This window comes from Homo sapiens, chromosome 7, assembly GCF_000001405.40.
Source record: "Homo sapiens chromosome 7, GRCh38.p14 Primary Assembly".
NCBI classification, from domain to species: domain Eukaryota; kingdom Metazoa; phylum Chordata; class Mammalia; order Primates; family Hominidae; genus Homo; species Homo sapiens.
In genome coordinates this window covers 130,204,447-130,229,577 of record NC_000007.14, presented here as the reverse complement: position 1 = coordinate 130,229,577, position 25,131 = coordinate 130,204,447, and the positions used below count along the sequence as shown (strand labels likewise).

Below are 25,131 nucleotides of genomic sequence, written 5' to 3'. Positions count from 1 at the left end.
GACCTAGTCTTTTCCATATTTCCACACTGTCATACTCAGGCGAATGCCCCTATGGACACGAGCTGGCTGTCACACAGTTCCAGTCATCACGTGCAGACTTGCTAGCAACCACCAAAAGAAAAAGGACTATTTCTCTTCTCCACATGTCTTTTTAAAGAAAGACTGAACAAACTTTTTTCTCTGAATGCTCCCCCCAGCAAACTTCCCTTCCCAGAATGAGATTACATGCCCACCCTTGAGCCACTCATGGACCAGGAGAATGGCACCACCAGGCTTGGCTTAGACCAATCAGAACTTAACCGTAAATCATGTAAGAGAGCAGGAACAATGGAACAAAATGGAAGAAAGGAAAAGAATCAACATAGGCTACTTCAGACCCTTTCTGTATCTGAAGGGGTACAATCAGAGAAAAGAGACAAAAAGACGCTGACCCTAAGTGGCATTTCTCCAAGCCCTTTCGTCTCTTCCTCAATCCTCTGACCTGCCAGTCAGTCTTACTAACCCTGGCTGTAGACCCTTCCACTAGGACCTGGTTTTTATCTCTCCACTTCTCCTTTTGTGATTTACACTAATTAGTAGCAGAGTTAGCTCTCAGCCTGGTGTTCTCACTGCTAAATCAAGATTTGAACACGTGAAACTTCATGGTGACAGAGGGCCCTAATAAACAAAGACAATTAGAGACAACAGGCCCCTGCAATAAGGCGGCTTGAGGAACAGCTTGTGAAAAAGGCCGAGCTCAGAAGATGAAAGAACTGGAAAACAGTATTGCTCAGGATCATAAAATTTTTGTTTAAAAAAAGGATTTCATGCATTATCCCTTTGTGCACTGAGTGGAAATTTGCAATAAGAAATAACGAGAAAGGACAAGTATAATTTATTTATAATGCATCTTTCTCTTGCCAACTTCCCTGGGCCTCTCCAATAACTGCCAGTCTACATACAAAAAAGGTCAGCTTTCTATTTTCATCTGAGGTTTTGTTAAATTTAGATGGTAAGTGCAACTCTTCTTTACACCAAAAAGTGCCTATTATTTAAGATTCAGTTGGTATGTAATAGATATTTGGGGGGGAAAAAAGCATTTTCTTCCTTTTGTCTTCCTCTAATAGTATAGGAATGTATGGGCCTGATTTATATTTCCCCCACCCTCCCACCCACCTCTTTGACCTCTATCTTTTCCTGACAGATAGAGAATATCCAGGTGGCCTGGTACTTGGAAACTTGTCAGATGTTATTCAAAGCAATAAAAAACACATCATGCAAGTCTTCGGCATATTGTTACAAGGAAACCCTGTTTAGAATCCACTAATTGGGAATTTGTGATAATTTGAGGAAGGGTTTGCTGAAGTTAACCTTTGTACTATCTATGAAAAAAAAAGTTCACTGAAGTTCTGAATAGTAGTGTAAACAAGATTGGAAGGGGAATAATTATCTGCTTAAAAGAACCAGTTGTTTTGAAAAGCTTTAGAAGTATTCTTTTACATACAAACAGGGTAATTATGATTTAAACAAAGGCTGGCCTGTTTCTTAGGCTTCTTTGAAATGTCAATTACAAATAACTCTTGTCTATTCACCAAGCCAAAACCCACCCCTGTGTACCAGGCAACAGTTGGTTAGCTTGCTTCCACTTTTTGTATTTGAAAATAATAAACCTGAAGTTCTTTTAAAGTAGTATAATTTAATTCAAGCTTTTCACTAATTGAGACGGTCCATCCTATAGTGTGGGTGAGGATTTACTAATTCCTAGCAGACAATTGGGAAAGCATGGAGTGATAGTGCCTTCACTAATTTAGTGGTATTGCTAGATGATACAGGAAAATCTACAAAGAAAACTACTCTAGAGCAGTGACTTTTGTTTTTATCTTTTTTTTTTCTATTTTTAAATATTTTTCTAGAGACAGGGGTCTCACTATGTTGCCCAGGCTGGTCTCTAATTCCTGGGCTCAAGTGATCCTCCTGCCTCAGCTTCCTAAAATGCTGAGATTATAGGTGTGAGCCACTGTGCTCAGCCCTTTTCTCTTATCACACATAATAAGAAATACATTTTACATTGCAATTCAGTACACACACACTTAATAATACTTACCCTTGTTATGTGTGATATGCTATTACTTTCTATTATTTTTATTTATTTATTTTTTTTAGACAGAGTCTTGCTCTGTTGCCCAGGCTGGAGTGCAATGGCATGATCTCAGCTCACTGCAACCTCTGCCTCTCAAGTTCAAATGATTCTCCTGCCTCAGCCTCCCAAGCAACTGGGATTACAGGCGTGTGCCACCATGTCCGGCTAATTTTTGTATTTTTAATAGAGACAGAGTTTCGCCATGTTGGCCAGGTTGGTCTCGAACTTCTGGCCTCAAGTAATCCGCCCACCTTGGCCTCCCAAAGTGTTGGGATTATAGGCGTAAGCCACCACACCCAACCAACTTTCTGTTTATTATTTAATAAATGCGAATCATGACCCACTAAATTTATTTCACAATCTGCTAATGGGTTGTCATTTTCAAAGTACTACTTCTAGAATGTGTTGGAAGATAGCACTCCTTCATTAGATAAAGGAGTGGCACTGGGGAAGAGTCGTAGTTGCTATCAGGTTTTCTTGATGGTGTTCAGCTTGGTGTAGAGCCCACACCAGACTCTGCACAAAAGCAACATCCAGCCATGACTAGTGTCTGCAGTCCCACTTTCATAACCGTCTCTTCTCACCAGATCTGTACCTGACCATGGTTTTGCTCCTCTTTCTATGGTTCACCATGTCCTGGGATGATGGAGCAAGGTAGCCCACTCACATCAGAGTTCTTACTCCCCATGCGGTCTGAACCCAGATCCCCTCCTCCTTTTCCTCCACTCAAACCCTTGGCCATCAACCTCACTGTTTTAGTTCCTACTGTCCCTTGTTTCTCAACAGTCAGTGCAAAGTTCATTTCTATCCTCACCAGCTAAGTCTCCATTTCTCCCTTTTTGTCTTAAGCTGGCCAGGCTTAACCCCTGCAGAGGAGGCAAGCTGATGTCATAAGGTGGAAACCGCCTTTGCAAAGATTATGATGATGAGACAAATCCAGCATGGCTGACTCCATCTTGCTTCTAGCTTTATGAGCTGGCTGGCCTTGCTCATTCCTAGGTGGAGGAATTTATTTTATAGTTTAACTTTGAAGCAAGGATGATAATAGTTTCTCCCTAAAACTAACTCTATCCTTGCTCAGGGACTGAAATCTTCTTTGTAAAACTAATAAAAGGCCATGAAAATTAGGACTATTGTAACTTCCCAGTGGATTCACCTGGCCTGCTGCCTAGACAGAACCAATTTATCAAGACAGGGGAATTGCAATAGAGAAATAGTAATTCACACGGAGCTGGGTATGCAGGAGACCAAAGTATTATTATTACTCAAATCAGTATCCCCGAGCATTCAGAGATCAGAGTTTTTTTGTTGTTTTTGTTTTGTTTTGTTTTGTTTTTTGAGACGGAGTTTTGCTCTGTTGCCGAGGCTGGAGTGCAATGGCACGATCTTAGCTCACTGCAACCTCCGCCTCCCAGGTTCAAGCGATTCTCCTGCCTCAGCCTCTTGAGTAGCTGGGATTACAGGCATGTGCCACCATGCTCAGCTAATTTTTTGTTTTGCTTTTTTTTTTTGAGATGAAGTCTCGCTCTGTCGCTCAGGCTGGAGTGCACTGGTGTGATCCCGGCTCACTGCAAGCTCCGCCTCCCGGGTTCACCCCATTCTCCTGCCTCAGCCTGCCAAGTAGCTGGCATTATAGGCACCCACCAACACGCCTGGCTAATTTTTTATATTTTTATTAGAGACGGGGTTTCACCGTGTTAGCCAGGATGGTCTTGATCTCCTGACCTTGTGATCTGCCTGAAATTTTTTTTTTTTTTTTGAGACAGAGTCTCGCTCTGTCGCCCAGGCTGGAGTGCAGTGGCGCAATCTCGGCTGACTGCAACCTCCGCCTCCCGGGTTCACGCCATTCTCCGGCCTCAGCCTCCTGAGTAGCTGGGACTACAGGCGCCCGGGACCACGCCTGGCTAAATTTTTTTGTATTTTTAGTAGAGACGGGGTTTCACCGTGTTAGCCAGGACGGTCTCGATCTCCTGACCTCATGATCCACCCACCTCAGCCTCCCAAAGTGCTGGGATTACAGGCGTGAGCCACAGCGCCCGGCCCTGCCCGAACTTTTTGTATTTTTGAGTACAGACAGGATTTCACCATGTTAGTCAGGCTGGTTTCAAACTCCTGACCTCAGATGATCTGCCCGCCTTGGCCTCCCAAAGTGCTGGGATTACAAGCGTGAGCCACTGCACCTGGCCAGGGGATCAGAGTTTTTAAGGACAACTTAGTGGGTGCAGGGAAGCCAGTGAGCCGGGAGTGCTGACTGGTCAGAGATGAAATCATAGGGAGTTGAAGCTGTCTTCTTGTGCTTAGTCAGTTCCTGGATAGGGGCCACAAGATCAGATGAGCCAGTTTATTGATCTGGGTGGTGCCAGCTGATCCATCAAGTGCAGGGGCTGCAAAATATCTCAAGCACTTATCTTAGGAGGAATTTAGGGAGGGACAAAATCTTGTAGCCTCCAGCTGCACGACTCCTAAACCATAATTTCTAATCTTGTGACTAATTTCTTAGTCCTACAAAGGCAGTCTAGTCCCCAGACAAGGAGGAGGTTTGTTTTGGGAAAGGGCTGTTATCGTCTTTGTTTTAAACTGTAAACTATAAGCTGGGTACAGTGGCTCACACCCGTAATGCCAGCACTTTGGGAGGCTGAGGCAGGCGGATCACAAGGTCAGGAGTTCAAGACCAGCCTGGCCAATATGGTGAAATCCTGTCTCTACTAAAAATACAAAAATTAACCGGGTGTGGTGGCAGGTGCCTGTAGTCCCAGCTACTCAGAAGGCTGCGGCACGAGAATCACTTGAACCCGGGAGGCGGAGGTTGCAGTGAGCCGAGATCATGTCACTGCAGAGTGAGACTCTGTCTCAAAAGAAAAAAAAAAAAAAAGGAAAGAAAAACTATAAACTATAAACTATGAACTAAGTTCCTCCCAAAGTTAGTTCAGCCTACGCCCAACAAGGACAGCTTGGAGGTTAGAAGCAAGGTGTAGTCAGTTAGATTAGATCTCTTTCACTATCTCAGTCATAATTTTGCAAAAGCGGTTTTATTATGGGAGGAGCCTGAATTCTGCTAAAATGTAGGCATAGTTTCTACAATCCTTTACTGCTTAGGAGTCATGTGACCAGAGGTCACAAGATCTGTGACTTCCCCGATGCTCCTATAGATAACATCACTATTGTAGAACTTAAGATTGGTCTTTTGAGGTGTTTTTCAGGCTTTTGAATTCTGGCAACCGACTGACCCCACAGACTCCTGACTCGTGACTCAACGGGTCCTGTGGTCCCCCCACCCAGAGGCAGACTCAACACTCAAGGACCATTCTTCACACCCCTGTGATTTCATCCCCAGCCAATCAGTAGTACCTGTTCCCTAACCCCCTGTCCACCAAATTGTCCATAAAAACCCTAGCATCTGAGTTCTTGGAGAGACTGATTTGAGTGATAACTCCAGTCCTGCCTCTTGGCTGCCTTGCATTAATTAAACTCTTTCTTTACTGCAATCCCACAGTCTCAGTGAATTGGTTTTGTCTGTGCAGTGGGCAGGAAGAACCTGTCAGGTGATTGCAAGGCCTCACCACCACACGGTGTGAAACCTCTCCAGGTTACTTCTGCTTCTAACTCTGCTCAGCCTCTGACTCTTGGCTCTGTTTTCCATTAATAGTCCTCTGCTCTCTCAGGACTTGGTTTGGTATTTGGTATGTGGTGTCCCAAGTTTTTATCAGTTGCTCTTCATTAAGAATTTGGATAATAGGCCAGGTGCAGTGGCTCACACCTGCAATCTCAGCACTTTGGGAGATCAAGGCAAGAGGACTGCCTGAGGCCCAGAGTTTTTGTTTTGCTTTTTTTGAGACAGTCTCACTCTGTCGCCCAGGCTGGAGTGCAGTGGTGCGATCTCAGCTCACTGAAACCTCTGCATCCCAGGTTCAAGTGATCCTCCTACCTCAGCCTCCAGAGTAGCTGGGATCACAGGCATATGCTACCACAACTGGCTAATTTTTATATTTTTAGTAGAGATGGGATTTCGCCACATTGGCCAGGCTGTTCTCCAACTCCTGGCCTCAAGTGATCCACCTGCCTCAGCCTCCCAAAATGTTGGGATTACAGGCATGAGCCACCGCACCTGGCCTCCCTGAGGCCCAGAGTTTGACATTAGCCTGGGCAACAAAGCAAGACCCCATCTCTAAAAATAAAAAATAAAAAATAAATTTTTTAATGGATAATGTTCTATCATGGTAAAACAACACAAAAAAATATTTGTGGTCAGACAAGACCAAGGCCCAGCTCCCCATTTACCAACTGTATGACCTGGAGTATGTTATTTAATTACTCCAAGCCTTACTTTTATCACCTGTAAAATTGAAATATCTATCTTGCAGGATTGTGAAGGATAAATAATCTTTATAAATTGCTTGCCTTGTGCCTGGCATATGACAAGCAATCTCTAAATCAGCAGTCCCCAACCTTTTTGGCACCAGGGACAGGTTTTATGGAAGACAATTTTTCCATGGATTGGAGGGGTGGGGGGCTGGGCGGGTGGTTTGGGGATGAAACCCCAGATCATCAGGCATTAGATTCACCTCATATCATCAGGGATTAGATTCTCATAAGGAGCATGCAACTGAGATCCCTCGCACGTGCAGTCCACAATAGGGTTCGCGCTCCTATGAGAACCTAATGCCGTTGCTGATCTGACAGGAGGTGGAGGCAGAGCTCAAGCAGTAATGCTGGCTTGCCTGCTGCTCACCTCCTGTTGTGCAGCCCAGTTCCTAACAGGCCACGGACTAGTACCGCACCATGGTCTAGGTGTTGGGTACCCCTGCTCTAAATGTTACTCGTTTCCAATATTGCTATTATTGTTGCTGCTGTTATTGGTAAGATTTAACCTACTGGCTCATCTCTCCTCCCACCAAAGCCACACCACCCCATCCTGGAGGGCAGATACTGGTTTGGACTGTGACCTTTCTCTACCTCCCATAGTTCCCTGCATCCCAGTTCCTGATAAGGATTGTGATACCTGGCCGAGCACGGTGGCTCACGCCTATAATCCCAACATTTTGAGAGGCCAAGGTGGGAGGGATCACCTGAGGTCAGGAGATCGAGACCAGCCTGACCAACATGGAGAAGCCCCATCTCTACTAAAAATATAAAATTAGCTGGGCATGGTGGTGCACACCTGTGATCCCAGCTACTTGCGAGGCTGAGGCAGGAGAATCGCTTGAACCCGGGAAGTGGAGGTTGCGGTAAGCCAAGATCATGCCATTGCATTCCAGCCTGGGCAACAAGAGGGAAACTCCATCTAAAAAAAAAAAAAAGAATCGTGATACTTAACGTAGCTGGACATCGCCACAGAGGTCATTCTGATGCTCAGCTGCATGGATGGGCCACAGAGAGGAGGCCAGTCTGAGAATCTTATGCCTCCCTCAAGCAAACCACCCAAACAGGTTACAGGCTTTGACCATGAAAGCCAGAGAAGGCCTACTTTATCCCAACCAGCAAGGAATGACTGAAGAGGGGACTGTTATGCAACCCAGGGACCCCACCCTAAGAACCCACACCAGACTGCACAAAAGCAGCAACAGCTGTGACTAGTATTAGCAGCCCTAGTTTTTTTTTTTTTTTTTTTCTTTTTTTGAGACCGAGTCTCACTCTGTAGCCCAGGCTGGAGTGCAATGGCTCAATCTCAGCTCACTGCAACCTCCGCCTCCCAGGTTCAAGTGATTCTCCTGCCTCATCCTCCCTAATAGCTGGGATTATAGGCATGTGCTACCATGCCCAGCTAATTTTGTATTTTTAGTAGAGATGGGGCTTCACCATGCTGGCCAGGCTGGTTTCAAACTGCTGACCTCAGGTGATCCACACTCCTTAGCTTCCCAAAGTGCTGGGATTACAGGCATGAGCCACCATGCCCAGCCAGCAGCTCTAGTTTCATGAGCCAGCTCCCACCTGACCAGTTGTGCACCTTGTTCACTGATCCAGTCCCAAAGCACCTGGCTATGCTTTTGCTTCTCATCCTATCATGTTTCTGCCTTGTCCATTTGATTTGGTGCAATTCTCTCCTTGGCTTTGGATAATCCTCCCAACTATGTTTAGCCTGTTTTTGGTTTCACGTACTCACAGATTATCCTGGCTAACCCCATACTATAGGATTTATAATACCCCCATACTTAACTCAATCCTGATTCCCTTTTCCTAAAGACAGCCATCTTCAGCCCCCCAACTCTTCCAGTCCTATGAATAAGACTAGGAAAAGTGACTCTTTGGGTAATAGTGTCATTGGTTTCTATTCTATCTACAAGCAAAACATTTGGGTGCATGGGCCCTTACTCTGTTATTTGGAAAATCGCCATTGTCCATATCTTCCAATAGATCCTGGTGAGGTTGTATCTGCTTAGACATCATTTATGACTGTGGGGGAAGTGGTGATTAACTTACCTTGGAATCATACCTTCTATCTTCAGATAATGATTAAGGTCATAGCAATTAAGAGCCCAAACTCTGAAGCAAGATGACTTGGGTCTAAATCCTTCCTCTGCAACTTACTGCTATATTTTAAACTTGGTTCTTTTGTTGCTGCTGTTTGGAGGGAGGGTACTACTTAGGATAATTTAAGCACCTTGATCATATCAAGCTGGAAATAGAATTATTCACTGAATTGTGGATACTGGCCCCTGCCCTGGTTCCTCTACCTCTGATTCCCCAGCTCCCCTAACCACCACTTTACATTCAGGAATCTCTTTGTATAATATATTGATTCAACTGCATTGTTTATCTGTCATGTTGTCTGGCACTGTGCTAGGCTACAGAGATACAAAGATAACAAATCATGGACTCTACCTTAAAGGGTGGATAAGCATATGTTGGGGACAGAGACTTGCAAACAAATGCATTCATCAAAATGTTAAAGATGGCCAGGCGCAGTGGCTCATGCTTGTTAATCCCAGCACTTCGGGAGGCTGAGGTGGGTGGATCATGAGGTCAGGAATTCGAGACCAGCCTGGCCAACATGGTGAAACCCCGTCTCTACTAAAAATGCAAAAATTAGCCAGGCATGGTGGCATGCACCTGTAATCCCAGCTACTCAGGAGTCTGAGGCAGGAGAATCGCTTGACCCTGGGAGGCGAAGTTTACAGTAAGCCAAGATCGCGCCACTGCACTCCAGCCTAGGTGACAGAGCAAGACTTCATCTCAAAAAAAAGATAAAGGCGCTGAGAAAGAACTTTTCAGGGCACACTGGAGGATGAGGGAGGGCAAAGTGAGTTCTGCCTGAGAGAACAAAGTGGAGGAGGGTGTCAAGGAGCAAGGAAAGTTTTTGTGGAAAAGGTCGATGCTTGAACTACTGAATCTTGAAGTTGTTCTGCTGTAACCATAATAGGTCTCCTGCCTGATAAGCTCGCGTTCACCCAACAGGTTCTTCCTGCTTGCCGCCTAGACAAAATCAATTCACTAAGACCACGGCATTGCAGTAAAGAGTTTGACACGAGGCTGGCCACGCAGAAGAACTGGAGTTATCACTCAAATCAGTCTCCACAAAGGCTCGGGGGCTAGGGTTTTTATAGGTAAATTGGTGGGCAAGGGTCTAGGGAATGAGTGCTGCCAATTGAGTGGGGATGAAATCACAGGGGTGTGGAAAATGGTCCTCATGCACCCAGTCTGCTTCTGTATGGGGCCACAGGACCAATTGAGTCATGCGCCACAGGTCTGGGTGGGGTCAGTCTGAAAGACATCTCAAAAAACCAATTTTAGGTTCTACAATGGTGATGTTATCTATAGGAGCAACTGGGGATAATACAAACCTTGTCATCTCAGGCCACATGACTCCTGAGCAGTAAGGGTTTACAGAAACTATGCTTACATCTTCTCAGAATTCAGGATCCTCTCATAATCCTAATTTTGTGGTCTTTCATTAGTTTTACAAAGGTGGTTTAGTTTGGGGAAGGGGTATTGTCATCCTTGCTTTAAGGTTAAACTGTAAATTCCTCCCAAAGTTAGCTTGGCCTATGCCCAGGAATGGCCAAGGACAGCTTAAAGGTCAGAAGCAAGATGGAGTCAACTAGGTCAGATTTCTCTTACTGTCATGATTTTGCAAAGGCAGTTTCATGCACAACAAGTCAATACATTGAGACCCCAGGCTGCAGCAGAGAAAGGTTTAATCATAGGTCTGCCAAATGAACAGATGACAGGAAACCTCAAATCCATCTCCCTGAGGATTTGGCGGCTGGGTTTTTCAGGATTATAGAGTGGGCCAAAGTGTGGAGATCACTGAGGGGTCAAAGAGTGCAGCGTGAAGTCATGGACAGGGAGATGGGTTCTTCAAACTGGTTAACATTAGCTGTTTCCTTAGAATCTGGGATCTGAAAAACATCTTAAGCAGCTCTTAAACAAAAGACTTATAATTCTAATGTCAAAAATCCCATCTGTAGGAACAATGGGGATACAAATGGTCAGGATCTAGTGACTTTGGGTTACAAGGAAGTGGGTCAAAGTACAGCCTGATTAGTGCTTATTTATAACTATATTTCTGTCTAGACTTCTTGTTAACTCTGTGAGGACAGCTTCACTGCTTCTCACCTGTGCCTTCAGACCTGTTCTAATCCTTTTTTTTTTTTTTGAGACGAAGTCTCACTCTGTCCCCCAGGCTGGAGTGCAGTGGCGTGATCTCGGCTCATTGCAAGCTCCGCCTCCTGGGTTCACGCCATTCTCCTGCCTCGGCCTCCCAAGTAGCTGGGATTACAGGCGCCTGACACCACGCCCAGCCCAGCTAATTTTTTGTATTTTTTTAGTAGAGAGGGGGTTTCACCATGTTAGCCAGGATGGTCTCGATCTCCTGACCTCATGATCCGCCCCCCTCAGCCTCCCAAAGTGCTGGGATTACAGGCGTGAGCCACCGCGCCGGGCCCAGACCTGTTCTAATCCTGAGGCAATCTGAATAAGACAAAGCCTCCACAAATAGGCTGAGAAATGTTACCCTGTTTCGTGGATTCTAGTGGCCTAGTCCCAGTGGTTGGGACTCCCTCATTGCCTCCCAAGGATCTTTGTTGTATTCAGTTGAGGAATCTGCTCTTATCAGGAATGACTCATGGGCCCAAAGTCACAGCTCTCTGGTCTCTGTCCCCATCCCCTACCTGTCTCCATGAAAGGCTCAGTCCTTAGTATTAGCCTGTAGTCTTAACCATACATAGTACCCAAGTCCTTACCCAAGACCTTTTTTTTTTTTTTCAATAGAGACAAGGTCTCACCATTTTGCCCAGGCTGGTTTCGAATTCCTGGGCTCAAGTGATCCTCCTGCCAGCCTCGCAAGGTGCTGGGATTACAGGCATGAGCCACTGCACCCAGCTTTCCTCAAGACTTAGGCCCTGCTTTGAACTGTAGCTGCATGATAAGGGTCCCTGCTGCTTCATCTTGTCCTTGCCAGCCCTCTCCTCTGGGATCTGCGCCTTGTTTTCTATCACAGCTGGGGTCCTGCTATCCATGCTATTTCCCATTTCTATTCTGGTAAGATGATCTCCAGATTGACCACCCATTTACTTCGGCCTGCTTACATTCCCCACACCTGGGGGCCCCACTTAACTAGAAAACCTAGCCCCAACTGTGCCTGGATTGTGCCTAACTTGTGACAAAGACTCTCTGTTTGGCCAAACTTTAGTCAGGCTCCTCTGAGCCCTCTTCTCAAATAGGCCTCAATCTTGACTCCATTCTGTCTTTGACCTGCCCAACCCAATTTTGGCAAGAATCCTACTGGATAAGTTTATCGAGGATCTCCCCATCCTTAATAACTAATCAAATTCCTCATCCTCCACTTTTTTTTTTTTTTTTTTTAAACAGAGTCTCACTCTATTGCCCAGGCTGGAGTGCAGTGGCACAATCTCAGCTCACTGCAACCTCCACCTCCTGGGTTCAAGCTTTTCTTGTGCCTCAGCCTCCCGAGTAGCTGGGACTCCAGGCATGTGCCACCACACCTGGCTAATTTTTGTATTTTTAGTAGAGGTGGGGTTTCACCACATTGGCCAGGCTGGTCTCAAATTCCTGACCTCAGGTGATCCGCCTGCCTTGGCCTCCCAAAGTGCCGGGATTACAGGCATGAGCCACCACGCCTGGCCTCATTCTCCACTTTTGATGTGTAAGTCCTTGGCCTGCCTTTAGCATGAATCCTGTTAGGTCACTTTATCAGGAATACTCCTATGTTTGATGTCTCTCTTTGGTAATTTCCCATCCTGTGATGTCCTCCTCCTGCTCCTGGCTATAAATCCCCACTTGTCCTTGTTGTATTCAGAGTGGAGCTCAATTTCTACTCTCTATTGCAATAGAGTCTTGAATGAAGTCCTCCTGGCCATTTTAACAAGTGTCAGAATAATTTTTCCTTTAACATTTGCCATGCACTTTGTGGATGACAACCGTGGGTAGCCCACTGCCAACTGCCTTCTGGGTCATGCTGCCTCTCCTCCCTACTCCAGGAATCAGATCTTATTCCAGCCTCTTGAGCTCCTCTTCCACACCAGCCCCTAGCTGACATGTGTGGCAATACAGTTCTTGTAGGGTCAAACCTAGAGAGGATGGGGCAATTCTATTCCAACCAACTTCACCTAGTTCATTCAGTCAGTCAGATAAGCAAAACATCTGAATACATTTAAGTGGTTTCTCAACATAAATAATACATTTTCAAAGAGCTTTCTTATTCATATTACAGACATAAACAAAATACATACACTCAAGGCACAAAATATATACACTCAAGGCACAAAATATCTGTCTTGTGCTATTTCAAATAAAAAAATCATAGCAGATATAGATCTTTGGTGTTCCAATGGTGCCATAAACACGTGATGGCCTTTTTTTTTTTGAACGAAGAATTGTGTGAGATTTTACCTCTTGGGTTCCAAGTATGTTTTTGTTTGTTGGTAGAGAGACTTTGTTGTAAAAGTCTCCTCACCTATAGCTCTGGTGATTTTTCATGTTTTATTCATCTCTTTCATTTGGCTTCAAGTGAAGGAAGAACGTGATAAAATTCAAAATTTACTAAATTTCTTGTTAATGTCAGATATGGAACTTTCCTCTTGACTGTCTCTTTTCATTGGCGGTGTTACTGAAGGCTTCTGTCGGGAATGGTGCGCCAACCATTCGTTGGTTCTCAAGGCTTTGCAGTGGAGGCAGTGCCTTTCGCTCATTTGGTAACTTCCCAGATTCCTTTGCCTCTGAGCCATTTTTCTCCTCTTAATACTGTCTGGTGATGGGTGGTGTTCACTTTCACTCTCCTTCCACGAGGAGGCTTCTGAGTTAGACTCTTCACTGCCATACTCCGTAGTATCACTGTCATGTTGGTTCTGGTTCACCTCATTGAACTGAGACTGGCGCCTGGCTCGTCTTTGTTCAGGATAGGCATTGACCAAAGCCACTTCTGAGTTGGTTACAGGGGTAAGTTGGTTCTGCTTTGGTTTCTTCATTGTTTGTGAGGGATCCCAGGCACTGTCTTTGCTTTGCCGCTTACAGGAAGTCTCTTTGCTTGCTAACAACCAATGAAACATATCAAGTTAGTAATATTGTTGGTTACTATGAATTCCTATTACTTAAGAAGCCTGTGCACGTGTGAGCTCACTCTTAGTGGCCAGTTGTCAAGCCATTGCTTTTCTCCAGTCACCTGCAAGTGTTGGCAGCTGACTGCATTTTCTAGTACCATATCCCAACTCCTGCAGACCAGAGAGCTTAGATAGATGCTTGACATATCACCATATCACTTTTGAAGTTTTGTGGATGCTAAACATAAGGTCAAAGGAAAAGATCTCTAAACTTTTCCAGGGAAGAACTCTTTTTTCCCTTTGAAAATTGAAGTCTTACAGATTCAAGCAGGTATATGAATGTGATTTGGGGAGCAGGAACTAAGAAGGATCTTTCCTTTACGTAGTGGTGTGAGGAAGTTGGCTTGTACCTGCTCAGAAGAGCTGATAAACTTTCAGGAATTTTGAGAGATGGTTAAACATAGCCATTATTAAAAATTAAATTATACCAACTTACAATAAATTAAGTTACTAAAAATAGAGGTAATACTCAAAACCCATCACTTCCTAATTATCTTACTACATTTGTTTATGCTATGTGCTCTTCTGGTTTTTTATGTCCGTTGTATTTGGATGCTGGAAACTCTATGCTGTTTTTTTGTTTTGTTTTTTTTTGTTTTTGAGATGGAGTCTCGCTCTGTTGCCCAGGCTAGAGTGCAGTGGCACGATCTCGGCTCACTGCAATGTCTGTCTCCCAGGTTCAAGTGATCCTCCTGCCTCAGCCCCCCAGCAGCTGGGATTATAGGCACGTGCCACCATGCACAGCTAATTTTTTTGTATTTTTAGTAGAGACAGGGTTTTGCCATGTTGGCCAGGCTGGTCTCGAACTCCTGACCTCAGGAGATCCACCCTCCTTGGCCACCCAAAGTGCTGAGATTACAGGCGTGAGCCACCACGCCCGGCGGAAATTCTATGTTAAGGGTGCACTACTGCACATCTCCTCCCAACTCCATGTTCAATGACATGAGGTGGATAGCTTAAAATCAGCTTTGGTGGAAGTATTTATACCACGAAAATCAGCAGACACTAAACATCAGGGCTTGATGTATGGCTTTGTTGATTGTCTAGGCTTAAGAAAATGATGGAGAACATGTTACTAATGCAGATTACATATTACATTTCAGTATCATCCCTGTAGCCACTACATTGTGACTAACCCTGCAAAATGAGGAAATATTCTTCCAGTATTTTAGAACTATTATCCATTCCAGCAAAGAAGTCACTCACATCACTGACAACCAAGTTAAGTTCCAACATACATCTATCTTCTGCTTCATTTTCATCTCACTCCTTAACTTAGAGGAAAATAACATTCACGCTGGAACTATACTTGTTCATCAATTGCAGCCATGGTTGGCTAAGGTGCAAGGGTCTGGCAAAAATGAAGGAGAGCGTTTTGTGAGAATCAGTTGTCTATATGAAATTGGCCATAAGGAGTATTGTATATTTTATTATTTTAAATGGTGTGATATATATTTATTTATTTTTATTTATTTATTTATTAAATTTTTAGAGTCAGGGACTCACTGTGCCGCCCAGGCTGGAGTGTAGTGGCATGATTATGCCTCACTGGCAGCCTCGAACTCCTGGGCTCAAGTGATTCTGTTGCCTCAGCCTCCTGAGTAGCTGAGACCGCAGGTGCGAACAACCATGCCAGCTAATTTTCTTTTTTAAAAAGACAGGGTTTTGCTATGTTCTCCAGGCTGATCTTGAACTCCTGGCCTCAAGCAGTTCTCCTGCTTCAGCCTCTGGAGGTGCTGAGATGACGTGCAACCTTTATATCAGTAAAATTTTTAGTAAGCATATGTACACACAGGAGTTTTGGAGAACCAGTTGTTAAACATTTACCAGTGCACCACTGCTTATAGGTTATTGAAAAAGATGTCATAGACAGTTCATAATCCTGTAATAGCACTAACCATGAGGATGTGGGAAGGGCAAGCAATGTGAAGGGAGAGAGCTAAGGAGTGAAAAAAGAACTTGAGTTCCACCTCCCAGTAATTCATAGCTTCTTGCTAAGCAGCTAAACTGTCCCTCTGCACTAGGGAGTCCAAAGCAAAAACTCACCCAACCCCAATGGGCCTCCTCTAGTGTGCAAAGTCTTACAATGCTGTTGGCTGTTCATCTCTGTTTTTTGCTTTCCACACTCAGCACAAATTTCTTTCTTTGTCTTTATTTCATTTTTCTTTTTTTCTTTTTCTTTTCTTTTCTTTTTTTTTTTTTTTTTTTTTTGGTACTGGGTCTCACTATGTTCTCAAGCTGTGGTCTTGAACTGCTTAGCTCAAGCAATCCTCCTGCCTCAGCCTTCTGAGTAGCTGGGACTACAGGCATGCAACACCACACATATTCTTCCCCTCATAGTCCAACACCAAATATGCACTGGTTCTCACCTTTCCTTACTGAAGTACTTGTCCCACTGCCTTCATCCTTTTTATCCTCAGACATCTGTTTCAGAAACATAGGTTAGTAAGAGTGATCTCAGTTGTTTTTTGATAATATGTACTTGTTATAAAACACTATTGCTGAGGCCCATTTATAATGTCTGGTTTTATTTTTTTATTATTTTATTTATTTATTTTTGGAGAGTCTCACTCTGTTGCCCAGGCTGGAGTGCAGTGGCATGATCTCAGCTCACTGCAACCTCTATCTTCCGGGTTCAAGTGATTCTCCTGCCTCGGCCTCCCAAGTAGCTGGGATTACAGGTGCCCGCTACCACGCCCGGCTAATTTTTGTATTTTTAGTAGAGACAGGGTTTCACCATGTTGGCCAGGCTGGTCTTGAACTCCTGACCTCAAGTGATCTGCCCACCTTGGCCTCCGAAAGTGCTGGGATTACAGGTATGAGCCACTGGGCCTGGCCTGACAATGTCTAATTTTAAACATTCAGTTTAAACAAGTACTTACTGAGTTAAATAATAAGCTAATTCAGTATGTATTGAGTTCCTGTTATAGTGATCCTACTTCCACTTCCCATTAAGACTATGCTTTGATAGCAGCATCTACCAAAATGTTTTGGACCAAACAAAATGGAACAGACTTGAGAGAAAATAACACTGACAAGGAGCTATAGCTTATAAAGCTTTCCTGTACCCATTTACATTACAGAGAAGTAGTGTTTTTAAAAAATTTGATAGTACTCAGATTAGTTTAGTTGTTGTTTTTTTGTTTTGTTTTTTTGTTTTTGTTTTTGTTTTTTTTTTGAGACGGAGTCTTGCTCTGTATGCCCAGGCTAGAGTACAATGGTGCGATCTCAGCTCACTGAAATCTCCGCCTCCCAGGTTCAAGTGATTCTCCCGTCTCAGCCTCCCGAGTAGCTGGGATTACCGACATGCACCACCACGCCCGGCTAATTTTGTATTTTTAGTAGAGACAGGGTTTCTCCATGTTGAAAAGGCTGGTCTCGAACTCCTGATCTCAGGTGATCCACCTGCCTCAGCCTCCCAAAGTGCTGGGATTACGGATGTAAGCCACCGCGCCTGGCCCAGATTAGTTTAGTTCTTAAAGGACACTTGATCAGGGTACATTACTGATAGTTCTTTAAGACAGAAGACATCTACCATACACAAAGATCTTTACCGAATTCATGAACTTAATATCTCCTTAATCCCTCCGAAAGTTTCCTCCAAAATGTAATCATGATATATTATTTGTGAATACAGCAACCAAAAGAAATGGATTTCTTTGAATAGTTTCAATTTCAAATATTCTGCCCCCCAATACTCCATAAATATATTTGTCCCATTTTTCAGATTAGTGTCCCACTTTCTAATGCTGAAAGTGATTTTGCCAAAAGACACAGATATAAACCAACTCTTTCAGAAAATAACAAAAACTAGAAATTTTCATTAACACCTTTGACATATAATTCTCTCTCCAGGAATCTATCAGCAAGAAATAACCCTCAGAAGAAAGAAAGCTTTGTCCACAGAAACATTCATCACAGTATAATTAGGATAATAGAAAATTCAAAAGTAGACAATGGTTTAAGTAAATTATGGTACAATTATATAATAAACAGTTGTAAAATTATTATAATAAAAGTATGTCATAACATGAGGAAATAAGTGTGCTACCATACTGGGTTAAACATCAAGATGCAAATTTGTATATACAGCTTGAGCGACAAATTAGCTTAAAATATGAAAAAAAAGACTTTAAGGAGCATATAAAAGTGATAGCTATGGTTGGCTTTAAGTGGTGAAATGGACTTTTTCTCTTCTAATTTTTTCAAATTGTCTACAATTAGGAAAAAAATGAGTTTATGTGGAAGTCCAGTTTCTTTGGGATGAAAAGTGCCATAGTTCGGTATTTATAACTGCAATCTAAGATCCTCAGCTCATTCTTAATATCTGATCTCTGCAATGGTAGGCAAGCATCTTTAATGAGGTGCCTTTTTGTTTTCTGGGTTACAGCAATCATTCTCCAAAAATCTTGAAAGCGGAGTTCACTTTTAAGATACCACTTTCTGGCCAGACACGGTGGCTCATGCCTGTAATCCCAGCACTTTGGGAGGCTGAGGCGGGCAGATCACAAGGTCAGGAGATCGAGACCATCCTGGCTAACACGGTGAAACCCTGTCTCTACTTAAAATACAAAAAAAATTAGCCGGGTGTGGTGGTGGGTGCCTGTAGTCCCAGCTACTCAGGAGGCTGAGGCAGGAGAATGGTGTGAACCTGAGAGGCGGAGCTTGCAGTGAGCAGAGATTGCACCACTGCACTCCAGCTTGGGTGACAGCGAGACTCTGTCTCAAAAAAAAAAAAAAAAAGATACCACTTTATAAAAAATGCTTTTGGAAGAGGCTTAAATATTTTAAATTTAATATGTATCACTTAGGTTATAGAAAAGGAAAAAAATAAATTTAATATATGTAAAGAAAATCAAAATAATTGGAAGTTTATAAACCTAAAAGTTAACAGTAGTTGGTTATTTCTACATAATCTGGAGTGATTTTTATTTTATTTTGTCTTCTGCCCTATAATTTCCACATTTTCTATATAATGTGTACTTTTGTAATAGACAGGAGAAGGTATTTAAAAACACTTATTAGGCTTATATCATTTCCACAGAAAGCTCTCACATTTGATGTCAAATCAAAACATAGCCACAAAATCAAAAGAAAGATTTTGCATTAAACTAAGTGGGATCATATGAACTGTGGTTACGAAAAGCATTTTATTAACTGTCTTTGTGACTCAGTGAGTGAAAACAGCAGGAGTGCCTGCCCTGAGGGGCAGAGTAGAAAATGTGGGCCGTGGCTCTCTTTCTGCCACTAACAACTCTTGATTTTTCCAAGCCACTTAACACCTCTTAAGCTCAGTTTCCACATAAGCAAAATAAGGTGTTTGGATTACCATTGTCCAGAAAAATACCAGCACTAGCAATCTGAATAAACACAAAATAAAAATATAAACTAAATATAGTATTTATAGTCTGAAAGCAAAAGGGTAAATGCCACTTTAAAAAGTGGCAAATTCAGAGGAAATCAGCGTGCTTCATGTTGGAGGATAATTACCACCACATTTCCATCGTGCTTTTACCATTACTTCAAGGTTTGTAAATAAAGCCTCATAGTTTAGCAGAGAAAATGAAGAAGTTCAAAGTGAAGGAAAAATTCCATCCTCCTTTACTAGCTCTCATATTGTTCTCAGATTTCAAATCTGGGACCCTTCAGAAGAAGCAGTCTAGCTGATTGTAGCTGCCACAAGGGTACAAAGTGAAAAACGAAACCTCTAAAATAATTAAGGTTTTAATCAGGACTGAGTAGATCTAAGTGGACATTTCAAACTATGCTTTGAAGCAAACAAATAATTTGACAGGAAATCTGGGTATATTCCCCTTCTGTCACTAACACTTTTGTGACATTGGACAAGTCACTTAATTTACTTGGGGCTTATCAATAAAAAAATGAGTGGGGGAGGGATAATGATAACTTACTTGCCTACAAACAGAAGGCTGGACCACATGCTCTCTTGAGGTCCTGGAAGCTCAAGGCTGTATGACTCCCAAGAGCTGATGCAAGCAAGGGAGCAGAAAAAATAGCTTAGACTGGGCCAGGCGTGGTGGCTCACGCCTGTAATGCCAGCACTTTGGGAGGCCGAGGCGGGTGGATCACGAGGTCAGGAGTTCGACACCAGCCTGGCCAACATGGTGAAACTCCATCTCTACTAAAAATACAAAAATTAGCTGCGCGTGGAGATGCACGCCTATAATCCCAGCTACTCAGGAGGCTGAGGCAGGAGAATCACTGGAACCCAGGAGGCTGAGGTTGCAGTGAGCCAAGATCGTGCCATTGCACTCCAGCCTGGGCAACAGGGCGAGACTCCGTCTCAAAAAATAAAAATAAAAAAAATAGCTTAGACCTCTTAATTCATGATGAAATTTTTTTGGTAATTTTCTAAAGTAGCTTTGCTTGCCAGGCCAAATTCAATATACTTAGCTAGGGAGTCTAAGACACATATAAGCTATCATTATTCTAAATCTCCTTTTGGCAAAGTATTTACCTTAAGAAGCATTTAGACTTTAGATGAAAGTTCTTCACCAGGAGGTGGTGGTTATCAAAGAGTCTTTGATTAGAATGGAATCCAGCTGGCATGGACATAACAAACCTTCTCCACCCCATCCGAGCTCATAGAGCATTAAGTCTTACCACTGCCAGCCCAGGCCTATGGCTATAATGCTAAATGATGGTGGTTTTCTTAATCATCAGCCTGGTATTAATGGCCAGCAAGGATATCATGTCAGCAAATTATAAGAGCTTGGTTACGGCTGGGCGCGGTGGCTCATGCCTGTAATCCCAGCACTTTGGGAGGCCAAAGCGGGCAGACTACTTGAGGTCAGGAGTTTGAGACCAGCCTGGCCAACATGGTGAAACCCCATCTGTACTAAAAATACAGAAGTTAGCAGAGCGTGGTGGCTTGCGCCTGTGGTCCCAGCTACAAGGGAGGCTGAGGCAGGAGAGTCACTTGAATCCGGGAGGCGGAGGTTGTAGTGAGCCAAGATTGCACCACTTCACTCCAGCCTGGGTGACAGAGCAAGACTCCATCTCAAGAAAAAAAAAAAAGAGCTTGGTTACTCATAATATGTTGGAAGCATCACAGTCCTGATAAAGTGGGATATCTCATTCTTAAGACGATGGCATTTTAGTGGTGACTTTAGTTCTGTTTAGTCTAGTTCTGCTTATTCTGTGCAGAAAGCGTATTGCTTCATTCTAAAAACCCCAAAATCCTACAGCATGTATCCTATCAATATGACAACTTTCATATCTTTGATTAGAATCACATGGCTAGAAAAGGGATTTGGAAGTCATTAACCAGCAGGGAGGTTTATGCCAGCATTACATAGCAGATGGATAAACTGTAAACAATCTGAATGTTTCAAACTTGCACAATTTTTTGGTGCAATCAAAATATAGAAAATTATGCAGTCATTAAAAGTGCTGCTGAGTGAATATAATTTAAAGAAGTATTTCTGATATATTATTAAGCTTAAAAAGCAGGATATGAAAATATATGCAATATAATGCCAACCATGTAAGATCAAAGATAGAGAAATGGAGAGAGATATATTGGGAAAGGCAGAGAAAAAAACCAAACTGGAAGAACATACTCCAAAATGTTAACAGTGGTTATCTCTGGGAAAGAGGATAACTGTAGCTTTATATTTTCCTCTTCATCCTTTTCCATATTCCTGGATTCTCCAGAATAAGATTGCATTATTTTTAAAACTAAACAACTTTTAAAAGTAGTTTCATCAAAGTATAGTAAATGTATTTTATGGAAATTTTCCTAGTGTACAGTAAACATATTATTTAAAATGAAAAAAAGATATCCTACCCAGACAGAAGCCCTAGAGAAGAACATCAGGACAAATACGATAACAAAATACCAAAGCAGGAAGCTCCCTATGGTTCCACAAGAGTCATCCTTCCAGCATTCATAATCCTGATTTGGAATGGCACAATTTACAGGTATTGGGGGAGGATCTACCTCCCAAAATAAGGAAAAAAGGTCTCCCATGATGACTCCTTGCTCAGAAAATAAACCATGCTTAAAGGGATAAAGATGACTGGGAACTACTTCACTCCCTCTATGATGTATGACAATTTCCTTGGCAACCTATTATGACACATACTTAAGCAACTGTTCTAGGAACTGACAAATGCTTCTTGGACTTCTAAGTTTGTGGAAGGTTATTCAAATTACTCCTCTGAATGTTTATGTTATTTTCCCCCATACCTCAATATGGTGCATTCTGCCTTAATTTTTTTTCCTAAAACTTGTATATGCTATATTTTCCTATCTTCACGTCTAAGTGTTTAATGTATCCACTCATTTTAATTCAGTCTCTTTTATATGTATCATGCCATTGCAAATTATCATAGACAGTTCTAATGTATTACCGATCAAACTGTGTTCCCTAAAATTCATATGTTGAAGCCCTCACCTCCAGTGTGACTCTATTTGGAGACAGGGCCTTTAAGGAGGTAATTAAAGTTAAATGAGGTCATAAGGGCCCTAATCCAATACAATTGGTATCCTTACAAGAAGACAGCAAGGATTCACGAGCACAGAAATCAAGGTCACAATACAAGGGGGCCGTCTGCAAGGAGACCCGCCTCAGGAGAAACCAACCCTGCTGACAATTTGATCTTAGACTTCCAGCCTCCAAAATTATGAAAAAAATAATTTCTGTTGTTTAAGCCACCTGTCTGTGATATTGCGTTATGGCAGCCCTAATACATAATGCTGTCATTTGGTCAGTGGTGTTCTTTTTTAAGCCTTGAATAAATGCACAACAGCTTATAGATTAAGAGGGAAAAACACAGATGTGCCCGTTATGAACTACTATGAACTACATCAAATGCATACAATTTCTTCTTAGGAAAGAGTCACATATGGAGGGGGTGGGAAACCGGTATTCTAATTTTTTTTTTTTTTTTTTTTAGCAGGGTCTCACTCTGTCGCCCAGACTGGAATGCAGTGGCACCATCTTGGCTCACCGCAACCTCGGCTTCCCAGGCTCAAGTGATTCTCCTGCCTCAGCCTCCAGAGTAATTGGGATTACAGGCGCATGCCACCACGCCCTACTAATTTTTTGTCTTTTTAGTAGAGACAGGGTTTCAGCGTCTTGGCCAGGCTGGTCTCCATCTCCTGACCTCGTGATCCGCCCGCCTCGGCCTCCCAAAGTGTTGGGATTACAGGCGTGAGCCACCGCGCCCGGCCGGTATTCTAATTTTGATTGCACCTTGAGCCCTTTCACTTTGAACAATTTTCCAGTTAGTTCATCTCTAAATCTAAAACTAGAGCAAAACAACATTGCTGCTAAAGCAATCTAAAAATGATAAAACTTAACAGCTCTTCAAGAGCACAGCATACCTGCCGATTTTCATTAATATACAATACCACGTGGTATTAATCTTAGGATCATTTTAGGAAAAACTTTGGCCATTGGACATACATGATGTAATCCACTAGCTTACTGTGGCATGGCTTAATGTTTTTATTAGGAGGCACACTTCAGAACAAGTCCCCAGGCCCTGGGTTTCTGGCTGTGGACTCTAACGCGTCATCTCCTCCAGGAAGCTCGCGAGAGCTGGGGCTGGGCTGGATGCGCCTCCTTGGGGAGCACTGCATCCACCTCACCTGCCACCGAAATGCATCTGTGGGCCTCCGCTGGGGTTGAGCTCCTCTGGGTAATAACCAGGAAGGTCTTATTTTCTATATCCGTGCGCCTGGCTCAGCGGCACACTTGTAGGTATTTGTGCTAAATAAAACAAAGCTCAACCTTTTCCTCAGGATGAGCAGCTCTTCCAAAAAATACATACGAAAATGTGTTATTATTTTTAACCTCAAAACCACTAGCAACTTCAATAAAACAAATTTTGGGTGTGCTTGTTATTGCTGCACCCTATTAAACAGATTAAGAATTTAGGCCGGGCGCGGTGGGCCACGCCTGTAATCCCAAAAGGCGGTGGGAGGCCAGCAGGCGTTTGGGAGGCTGAGGCGGGCGGATCCCTTGAGGTTAGGAAATCGAGACCAGACTGGCCAACATGGCGAAACCCTGTCTCTACCAAAAAAAAAATTACATGGGGTCAGGACTCTTGACATAGATACTTTAACACAGGGGAAAGAAATGCTTTGTCACTGATGGTGTCTGGCCACTTTATCACGCCACTCTATCCTACGGTGAGCCGCCCTACTTAATCAGTTTACACATGTGAGTCCATAAATGCCCTAGGGAAGCTAAAATTATATTAATAGATACAAAATTCAGCTTGTTACAATTATTACTTTTTACTGCGGGTTCAGAGCCTGGTCTGAATTTTGCTGCTTAGCTTTCTCCCGCAGCTGAGTGGGAGCCGCAAAACCGAGACCTGTTTCCCTGGTAACGCTCCGAGCGCCTGGGCCTGCGACCCCTCCCTTTCTCGCGAGAAGAGACTACCTAGTTCTTCCGGTAACTTTAGAGCCGCTTGCCGGTGGCCTCCCGCTTGAGCTTGGCTTTGCGCATGCCCAGAGAGAGTGGCGCGAGCCTGCGTTTTCCGGCCAGAGGACATGGTGCGTTTTCGGGGTCGTGTTTGTGCTTCCTGTCTTGGAATCTACGCGGGTTGTGGGAGTTCCGCGCCTGCTGATCTGTCCTGGGTTCAGCCAAGGGGGATGTGGCTAGGCGTTCCGCCTCTCTAGGGGAAGGGAAGAAAGAAGCAATAGGGTTGCTGAAGTTCGTGCCCAGGAGCCGGGGAGGGAAGCTCTGGACTGGGAAATTGGGACGCGGGGGCTGAGTGGCGCGAAAGCTATTGCTCTGTCCTCTGTGGGATACGACTGCTTGTCGCTGGAACAAGTTTTGCACGGTCTGTAAGAGTTGAGCCTAGCTGAAGAAAGGAGGAATTATAAATCCCAAATGTGGACCAAAACAATGCACGTTTTCCCCTCTCTCCCTCTTACTCCGCTCACCACCCCATCATAAGTACGTGCCCTTCTAAAACTTGGATCCTTGTCCTTTATCCACACACAAAAGGGAGAGCCCTGGAGTACAGCTGTCCAAGTGCAGAGTTGTTGAGATAGTAATGGCGTCTGCATGAGGATGTACAACAGTCTTTATGACTTACAGCAGATATGGAATATAGTCTCCCAAAACTTGACATTTTGAGTTTCTGAAGTTAGCCTTTTGCCTAGTCCGTGTAACATACCCCAAAGACAAAATACAAAGTATTTCTAGACATAACCCTTAAATTACAAAATAAGACATTTTTATGTATTGGAAGTATTAAATTGTTCTTAAATAACCAGCCACGGCTGGGCGCGGTGGCTCACGCCTGTAATCCCAACACTTTGGGAGGCCGAGGCGGGTGGATCACAAGGTCAGGAGTTCGAGACCAGCCTGGCCAAAATGTTGAAATCCCGTCTCTACTAAAAATACAAAAATCAGTCGGACGCGGTGGCGGGCGTCTGTAATCCCAGCTACTCGGGAGTCTGAGGCAGGAGAA

General features: G+C 43.5%; 2 protein-coding genes across 8 annotated transcripts in view, besides 4 other annotated features; one reads left to right on the top strand and one right to left on the bottom strand.

Annotated features, from left to right (window-relative positions):
• Nucleotides 1-12,733: 12,733 nt before the first annotated feature.
• On the bottom strand, nt 12,734-24,168 carry SSMEM1 (serine rich single-pass membrane protein 1). 4 transcript variants are annotated; one of them, XM_011515795.3, is made up of 3 exons: nt 24,093-24,168; nt 16,044-16,098; nt 12,734-13,604 (listed from the first exon to the last, which is right to left on the bottom strand). In XM_011515795.3, exons 2-3 carry the CDS (start codon nt 16,096-16,098, stop codon nt 13,108-13,110), a joined length of 552 nt encoding a protein of 183 aa, XP_011514097.1. In that variant the 5' UTR covers nt 24,093-24,168; the 3' UTR covers nt 12,734-13,107. The 4 variants fall into 4 exon arrangements, with proteins under 4 accessions (XP_011514097.1, XP_005250198.1, NP_660311.1 ...); XM_005250141.5 differs by lacking the exon at nt 24,093-24,168 and adding an exon at nt 23,942-24,058; NM_145268.4 differs by lacking the exon at nt 24,093-24,168 and adding an exon at nt 21,485-21,718.
• Nucleotides 23,908-24,017: an enhancer, noted in NCBI's record as "active region_26651". NCBI's record gives its function as "activates an Ori minimal core promoter by ATAC-STARR-seq in GM12878 lymphoblastoid cells {active_cell/tissue: GM12878}" and the evidence as "EXISTENCE:reporter gene assay evidence [ECO:0000049][PMID:35858748]".
• Nucleotides 23,908-24,733: a biological region, named in NCBI's record as "NANOG-H3K27ac-H3K4me1 hESC enhancer GRCh37_chr7:129844685-129845484".
• Nucleotides 23,934-24,733: an enhancer, noted in NCBI's record as "NANOG-H3K27ac-H3K4me1 hESC enhancer chr7:129844685-129845484 (GRCh37/hg19 assembly coordinates)". NCBI's record gives its function as "activates a minimal SCP1, AML or CMV promoter by ChIP-STARR-seq in primed H9 embryonic stem cells {active_cell/tissue: H9 hESC(primed)}" and the evidence as "EXISTENCE:reporter gene assay evidence [ECO:0000049][PMID:30033119]".
• Nucleotides 24,078-24,257: an enhancer, noted in NCBI's record as "active region_26650". NCBI's record gives its function as "activates an Ori minimal core promoter by ATAC-STARR-seq in GM12878 lymphoblastoid cells {active_cell/tissue: GM12878}" and the evidence as "EXISTENCE:reporter gene assay evidence [ECO:0000049][PMID:35858748]".
• Nucleotides 24,172-25,131, top strand: part of TMEM209 (transmembrane protein 209) — a 40,694-nt gene continuing 39,734 nt past the window's right edge. For 3 of the 4 annotated variants that reach the window (NR_156699.2, NM_001301163.2, NM_032842.4), the window contains exon 1: nt 24,172-24,205. Coding sequence is in view for 2 of the 4 variants with exons in the window: in NM_001301163.2 (NP_001288092.1) it covers nt 24,203-24,205 (3 nt within the window). In the remaining 2 variants the exon portion in view is untranslated. Of the gene's footprint in view, nt 24,496-25,131 lie in introns of all 4 variants that reach the window. The other variant, NM_001363478.2, reaches the window with a different exon arrangement.